Raw genomic sequence first — 9080 nt, 5'->3', positions numbered from 1 at the left:
CACCGCGCCCAGCCTATTTTTTGTATTTTTAGTAAAAATGGAGTTTCACTGTGTTAGCCAGGCTCGAACTCCTGACCTCGTTATCCGCCTGCCTTGGCCTCCCAAAGTGCTGAGATTACTGATGTGAGCCACCGCGCCCAGCCTGTGTTATGAATATTTTACCATAATAAAAAATTTCTTTTTTTAAAAATAAATGAGGCCGGGTAGAGTGGCTCATGCCTGTAATCCCAACTACTCAGGAGGCTGAGGCAGGAGAATTGCTTGAAACCAGGAGGTGGAGGTTGTAGTGAGCCGAGATTGCACCATTGCACTCCAGCCTGGGCGACAGAGTGACACCCTGTCTCAATCAATCAATCAATAAGCAAAACCTGCATATGAAGAAATCTTTATGATAGTGATGACTTAATACCGTGGCTTAGTCTGGGCGTGGTGGCTCACACCTGTAATCCCAGCACTTTGGGAGGCCATGTGGGTGGATCACTTGAGCTCAGGAGTTCAAGACCAGCCTGGGCAATATGGTGAAATCCCATCTACAAAAAATACAAAAATTACCTGGAGGCCGGGTATGTTGGCTCACGCCTGTAATCGCAGCATATTGGGAGGCCAAGGCGGGTGGATCACTTGAGGCCAGGAGCTCGAGACCAGCCTGGCCAACATGGTTAAACCCTGTCTCTACTGAAAATACAAAAATTATTGGGTGTGGTGGCACATACCTGTAATCCCAGCTACTTGAGAGGCTGAGGTGGGAGGATGGCTGGAGCCCCGGAGGTCAAGGCTGCAATGAGCCATGATCACACCATTGAACTCCAGCCTGGGTGACAAAGTGACTGTTTCTGAGACCATGTCTCAAAAAAAAGGAAGAAAGAAGGAAAAAGAAAAAAATACTCTTAGAGAATTCTCAAATATTTATGAAAACAGATGATGAATTTATGAAATATTTATTACAACTTAGTGAATCAGGATAGGGACTTCATCTTTTCTAAACGATTATTAAGTATTTATTGAATATTTTACTATATTGAGGGCTACAATGGACTGAGTGCTTGTGTTCCCAGCAAACTCGTATACTGAAATCCTAACCCCCAATGTAATGGTATTAGGAGATGGGGTCTTTGGGCGGGTAATTAGGTCATCAGGATGGAGCCTTCATGAATAGATTAGTGCCCTTATAAAAAGGACCCCAGGCGGGGCGAGGTGGCTCACGCCTGTAATCCTAGCACTTTGGGAGGCCGCGGCAGGCGGATCACAAGGTCAGGAGTTCGAGACCAGCCTGGCCAACATGGTGAAACCCTGTCTCTACAAAAATTAGCCGGGTGTAGTGGCGTGTGCCTATAATCCCAGCTACTGGGGAGGCTGAGGCAGGAGAATTGCTTGAACCCAGGAGGCAGAGGTTGCAGTGAGCTGAGATCACACCACTATACTCCAGCCTGAGCTACAGAGCAAGATTCCGTCTCCAAAAAAAAAAAAAAAGGACCCCAGAGAGAGCTCTCTCACTCACTTCTTTTTCTTTGCTATTTTTTTTTTTTTGAGACAGGGTCTCACTCTGCCATCCAGGCTGAAGTGCAATGGCACGATCTCGGCTCAGTGCAAACTCCACCTCCTGGGTGGAGTAGCTGGGATTATACATGCTAGCCACCACGCTGGGCTAATTTTTGTTGGCCAGGCTGGTCTCAAACTCCTGACCTCAAGTGATCTGCCCGCCTCGTCCTGCCAAAGTGCTGACATTACAGATGTGAGCCACTACACCCAGTCCTCTCACTCTCTTTCTGCCATGTGAGGATACAATGAAAAGATGGCAGGGTGCCAACCAGAAGAGGGCTCTCAGCAGCACCCCACTTCATTGGTACTCTGATCTAGGACTTCCAGGCCCCAGAACTGAAAAATACATTTCTGTTGTTTAGAAGCCACCTGGTCTATGGCATTTTGTTACAGCAGCCCAACTAAGACAAGAGGCCATGTTAAGCAATGTAAATTTAAGGAATTTACATTTTATTATTATTACTATTATTTTCTCTCTTTTTTTGAGGCATAGTCTCACTCTGTTGCCCAGGTTGGAGTGCAGTGGCATGATCTTGGCTCACTCCAACCTCTACTTCCCGGGTTCAAGCAATTCTCCTGCCTCAGCCTCCTGAGCAGCTGAGACTACAGGCATGCACCACCACGCCCAGCTAATTTTTATATTTTTAGTAGAGATGGGGTTTCACCATGTTGGCCAGGCTGGCCTCGAACTCCTAATGTCAAGCAATCCACCCGCCTTGTCCTCCCGAAGTGCTGGGATTACACGCGTGAGCCACTGCACCCAGATGGAATTTACATTTTAAGAAGAAAACATAATAAAAATTATAAAAGTTTAAGAATACAAAATATAGTATCTGCCAAGTATTAAATGAGTGGGGCAGACATATATACTCCAGGAATTCTATATTCAAAGCACTACTTCATAGTGCTTTGTACAATGACAGAATTTTGCAGCTGGAAGGGATCTTGGAGATCATCTAGTTCTTTTTTTTTTCATTTTTCTTAACTTTTTTTATTACAAAACTATTTTTATCTTCAGAAATTAGGTCTTGCTATGTCGCCTGTGCTGGACTTGAACTCCTGAGCTCAACTGATCCTCCTGCTTCAGCCTCCCGAATAGCTTGGACTGCAGGCGCATGCCACTGGGCTGGCTTGATTATCTTTTTAAAGAATTTCAATTGACGCACAATAGTTGTACACACTTATGGGGTACAAAATAATAGTTCAATATATGTATATAATGTGTTATAATCAAATCAGGGTAATTAGCATATCCATCACCTCAAACATTTATCATTTCTTTATGCTGGGAACCTCCAAAATCCTCCATTCTAGCTATTTGAAAATATACAATAAATTATTTTAGCTATAGTCACCCTCCATTTCTATAGAACACTAGAACTTATTCCTCCTACCTAGCTGTAATTCTGTATACTTTAACCAATCTCTCCCTATCTCCTCTGCCCACTACCCTTCCCAGTCTCTGGTAACCACTATTCTACTTTCTACTACTGTGAGATCAAAACAATTTTTTTTAGCTCCCACATATGAGTGAGAACATGTGGTATTTGTCTTTTGGTGCCTGACTTATTTCACTTAACATAATGACCTCCAGACTCATCCATGTTGCTGAGAATGGCAGGATTTAGTTCTTTTTATGGCTGAATAGTATTCCATTTGTTACATATACCACATTTTCTTCATCTACTCATCTTCTGATGGACACCTAGGTTGATTCTGTATCTTGGAAGGAGTTCTTTATATATATATATATGATTAAATCTCTTGTTTGATATACATGCATATATTTTCTCCCAATAATTTGTTTTTTAACAGCTTTATTGAGCTATAATCCCCAAACCAAACAATTCGTCCACTGACAGTGTTAAATTCAATGTTTTTTGGTATATTCACAGAGTTGCACTACCATCACCAATCAATTTTAGAACATTATTTAACTTTTAATATTTTACATGTGCAAAAGTTTTTTTCAGTTTTGTGCAGTCAAATATCTCCATATTTATACTTTCTGTAATATGGAGATACCATCTTTCATCTCATTAATTTTATTTTTATTTGTTAATTTTTTTTGAGATGAAGTCTCAGTCTGTCGCCCAGGCCGGAGTGCAGTGGCACCATCTCAGCTCACTGCAAACTCTGCCTCCTGGGTTCAAGCGATTCTTGTGCCTCAGCCTCTTGAGTAGCTGGGATTACTGGCATGTGCTACCATGCCAGGCTAGTTTTGTATTTTTAGTAGAGACAGGGTTTCACCATGTTGGCCAGGCTGGTCTTGAACTCTTGACCTCAGGTGATCCACCTGCCTCGGCCTCCCAGAGTGCTGGGATTGTAGGTGTGACCCACCATGTTCGGCCTTAACTCATCAATTTTAGATTTTGTCAATTGATTTCCTATTATTGTAGATAAAGATTTGGCTTTCTTATACAATCATTTCGTATTGGTAAAAAAAAAAAAAGTCTACTTTTGTAGTTAAATAAATATTTAGACTCTAAATTATGTTTATATAAACATTATTCAATGCTGAGTATTATAATGTACTTTATGTCTTATTTTTTACTTTTTTGTTTTTCCTATAGTTTAATAATTGCTGTGTTTTTGTTTTCGTTTTTGTTTTTTAATTGAGACAGAGTCTCACTCTGTCTCCCAGGCTGGAGTGCAGTGGTGTGATCTCGTCTCACTGTAACCTTCATCTCCCGGGTTCAAGTGATTCTCCTGCCTCAGCTTCCTGAGTAGCTAGGATTACAGGTGTGCACCACCATGCCTGGCTAATTTTTGTATTTTTAATAGAGACGGGGTTTTACCATGTTGGCCAGGCTGGTCTCGAACTCCTGACCTCAAGTGATCCACTTGCCTCAGCCTCCCAAAGTGCTGGGATTATAGGTGTGAGCCACTGCACCCGGCCAATTGCCTTGTTTTTTGATTTGCTTAGTCATATTTGCATCTGTTACTAAATCTTCTCATGCCTGCCAGTAGCTTTTGGTACAATTTCTCACAAGGTCCACGTCCTCTATACATATATTCGTTTTAGTTCTCTCCTGGAGATCTTTGTTTCCCTCTATCTAGTAATGTCCTATGCCTGCTCTCAGTTGCCTATTAGTCCTCTTGAGACTTCCCTTTGCTGGTATTTTAGGAATTCCTCCTAATCTGAATTCTGTTCTTTGAATGATTTCATTTTTCTTGGTTTACTGTGTCATTTTCATGGAGCGTATGTTCCAGTAGCTTTGGCCAGAGGGTATAGTGGCGACAAGTATTACTGTGCCTGTCCCTTGAGTGACACTGCTGTAGTCCAGACAGTTTGCCCTCTCCCGCTTATGCACGTCTGTGATTTGGGGATTCCCTTCTTTTTTCTCCTGTGCTGGGTCGCCTGTTTTCTGTTTTCCATATCTGCCTCTTCTTTGTTTACCCCACATTTTGATAAAACATATTTTCCAATAGTTTCCTGAGAAAAATTACAGAGGAAACACATTTTTTAAAAAATGTATTTTTTGACTGGGCGCAGTGGCTCATGCCTGTAATCCCAGCACTTTGGGAGGCCAAGGCGGGCAAATCACGAGGTCAGGAGTTCAAGACTAGCCTGACCAATATGATGAAACCCCGTCTCTACTAAAAGTACAAAAATTAGCTGGGTGTGGTGGTGCGTGCTGTAATCTCAGCTATTCAGGAGGCCAAGGCAGGAGAATCTTTTGAACCCGGGAGGTGGAGGTTGCAGTGAGCCGAGATCATGCCACTGCACTCCAGCCTGGGCAACAGAGTCAGACTGTCTCAAAATAATAATAATAATAATAATAATAATAATAATAATAATAATAATAATAATGTATTTTTCTTCCCACACATGTGTTTGTTTGGCTGGTTTCAGGGTTCTAGATTGTGGATCATTTTCATATAAACTTTTGAGGGAAACAGAGGTGATGCTTCCTGTGGTGATGGAGGCTGAAGGGTCCTCTCTGGTATGCCTGAGAGTTTTCAGGAGCCAGTTCCACATCCCATGGAATGTCTCCAGATTCATGAGCACGCAGAGGTTGTGGCAGTGGCAGTGACAGTAGCAACAGCAGTTGTACCTTCTAAGTGTGACCTTAAAGCCAAAAGTCTAGTGATGGTGTCTGGCATTGTTCCTTCCGTTCCTGCGCCCTGCCCCGCCCCAACCATGTTAAGTACCAAATTTCCTGAAAACAAAACAAAACAAAAACAAAACACTTTTTTGAATGAAATACTTGGAGTGATTTCTGTTTCCTGTGCTGAAGGCCAACAGATAATGTTCTCTTTGTGATTACGTCCATAAGTATGTCACATGTGGCTATTCCATATTCTGAATTGTAAATCATTTGGACTCTAAATCTGTTTTGTCTGTTTGTTTCTGCTGAGTCTCATGGTGCTGGTGCTTGGTCATATTTATTGTGAGTAGATTTTACTGTGGTCAGGGTGGTGATGGTATGTACAGATCACAGTAGGGAAATAATGAGGAGTGAGTGAAAAACCCTCGAAGTAGAAGCACGTCCGGCACCTTCAGGAAGTAAGAGGTCGGTGTGGCTGCAGTGGAATGAGCGAATGGCAGACAGTAAGTACAGAGAGGTAACGGGTCAGATGGTACAGGGATATGGGCAGGAATTTGTCTTAGACTCTTAGTGAAAAGAAGAGCACTGGAGAGTTTTCAGCCGAAAGAGTGATATGATCTAACTTACATTATATAAGAATCACTCTGGATGCCATGTTCAGAGTGTACTGTAAGGGGAACAAAAGCAGAATCAGGGATATCAGTAAAGAGATAATAACGAGATGCAGACGATGGTAGCTTGGACCTGTAGGTAGTATTGGAGGCAGTGAAAATTGCTGGATTTTGGCTGTGTCTTGGAGATTGAGCCAATAGAATTTGCTGATGGTTTAAATATGAATGTGTGCATATGTTTGTGTGTGTGGAGAGAGAGAGGAGAGGAGAGGAGGAGAGGATTACTTCAAAGTTTTCAGCCTGAGCAAATGGAAGGATGGAGGTATTATCAGTTGAGTTGAGATGCAGGCTTGTGAAGGAAGATCAGGAGTTTAGTTTTGGGGATATAACTTTGATATATTTATTAGGCGGCCAAATGGAAATGTGAAGTTGGGAAACGGATATGTAAGTCTGAAGTTCATGGGAAAAATTAGCAGTTGATAGGAATTTGGAAATGTCAGTATTCAGATGGTATATAATGCTATGAGATTGGATGAGATCACTAAGTAGTGAGTATAGAAACGAGTTCTAGGGCAATTAAGTATTAAGAAGACAGGAAAACCAGGAACAATGAACATGACCATCTGAGAAGGAGTGGTTATCAAAGAAGAAAACCAACCCATTGACGTCCTTGAAACTTAGTGAAAAAGTATTTCATCAGGAGATTTTTCTCAGGCCGGGTGTGGTGGCCCATGCTTATAATCCTAGCACTTTAGGAGGTGGAGATGGAAGGATGGCTTGAGGCCAGGAGTTTGAGGCTGCATTGAGCTACGATCATGCCACCGCACCACTCCAGCCTGGGTTGGAGAGCAAGACCCTGTGTCTAAAAAAAGGAAAGAAAAGAAAATCTTCACTTAACATGGAGAAGTGTTTTGTTGAAATCATAGAGACTTAAATTCCAGATTATTAACAATTTTCTCTTTTTTTGAGAGAGGGTCTCACTCTCTTTCCCAGGCTGGAATGCAGTGTCAGGATGATCATGGCTCACTGCAGCCTCCACCTCTCAGGCTGTAGTGATCCTCCTGCCTCAGCCTCCCTAGTACCTGGGACTACATGCATGCACCACAACGCCCACCTAATTTTTTGTATTTTTGGTAGAGATGGGGTTTCACCCTGTTGGCCAGGCTGGTCTCAAACTCCTGGACTTAAGCGATCCTCTCACCTTGGCCTCCCAAAGTGCTGGGCTTACAGGTGTGAGTCACGGCACCTGGCCTAACAATTTGTTAATTATACTTTTTTTTTGCAAAGGATCCTTCTTAAATATTTAATGAAACTTCACAAGCATATTATACATTAGACAGAAAATAATGCAAATTTTCTGATCTTATTTCTTTTTTTTTTTTTGAGATGGAATCTCACTCTGTTGCCCAGGGTGGAGTGCAGAGGTGCGATCTCGGCTCACTGCAACCTCTGCCTCCCGGGTTCAAGTGATTCTTCTGCCTCAGCCTCCCAAGTAGCTGGGACTGCAGGCACACGCCACCACACACAGCTAATTTTTGTATTTTTAGTAGAGACAGGCTTTCACCATATTGGCCAGGCTAGTCTTGAACTCCTGACCTCGTGGTCCACCTGCCTTGGTCTCCCAAAGTGCTGGGATTACAGGCTTAAGCCACCACGCCCGGCCTCTTTTTTCTTTATATATGTATAAATAGAGATGGAGTCTCGCTATGTTGCCCAGGTTGGTCTCGAACTCCTAGCCTCAAGTGATCCTCCCACTTTGGCCTCCCAAAGTTCTGGGATCACAGGCCGAGCCACCACATCTGGCTCCAAAAAACAAACTCTTATCTCTTACCTCCAATCCTAATCCTGTTGGGTCAAAAGTACATCATCCATTTTTGGATTATCTATTGTTTTTATTTAAAAAAAGTTATAGAAAAGTTGCAAAAATAGTGCAGAGAGTTAACATTATATCTTTTACTCAGTTTTGCTTCGTGTTAACAATTTCCATAATCATATACAATTATGAAAGACAGAAAATAAACATCAATATGATACTATTTGCTAGAGTACAGGCCTTATTCAAATTTTACCCTTTTCCCACCTGTGTCTTTTTTCTGTTCTGGGATCACCCATTGCATTTAATTGTCATGCCTTGAATCTGTGACAGACTGGACAAGCAAAGACAATGAAAGTCAGGGAAAGACAATCTTTCCTTGTCTTTCATAATCTTGATGTTGATGAATCCTGGTCAGTTATTTAGTAGAATGCCTTTCAGTTTTGGTTTATCTGTTGTTTTCTCATGATTAGATTTAGATCATGCATTTTTTGGCAAGAATACCATAGAAGTGATGTTGTGTACCTCTTTATACATTATACCAGGGGATACATGATGTTAACATGTGTAACTACTGGTGATGTCAACCTTGATGATATCTGCCTGCTTTCTTCATAATAGCCACTGTTAAAGTGAAAGAAAATGACTGTTTTTCCCCTTTGTAATTGATAAATATCTTGGAGGCAATACTTTTTTTTTTTTTGAGACAAAGTCTCGCACTGTCACCCAGGCTGGAGTGCAGTGGCACGATCTCCGCTCACTGCAACCTCCACCTCCCGGGTTCAAGAGATTCTCCTGCCTCAGCCTCCCAAGTAGGTGGGATTACAGGTGCCCACCACCCCGCCCAGCAAATTTTTTGTATTTTTAGTAGAGACGGGGTTTCACTATGTTGGCCAGGCTGGTCTCAAACTCCTGACCTCATGATCTGCCCCCCTCAGTCTCCCAAAGTGCTGGGATTACAGGCGTGAGCCATGTCGCCCAGCCCTTGGAGGCAATACTTTTAGACAATGCTAATAATCCTCTCTCTCCTCAAATTGTCTTTATTTTATTTTATTTTATTTTATT

Source organism: Homo sapiens, chromosome 4, assembly GCF_000001405.40.
Source record: "Homo sapiens chromosome 4, GRCh38.p14 Primary Assembly".
Taxonomy (NCBI): Eukaryota; Metazoa; Chordata; class Mammalia; order Primates; family Hominidae; genus Homo; species Homo sapiens.
This window is presented reverse-complemented; position numbering follows the sequence as displayed.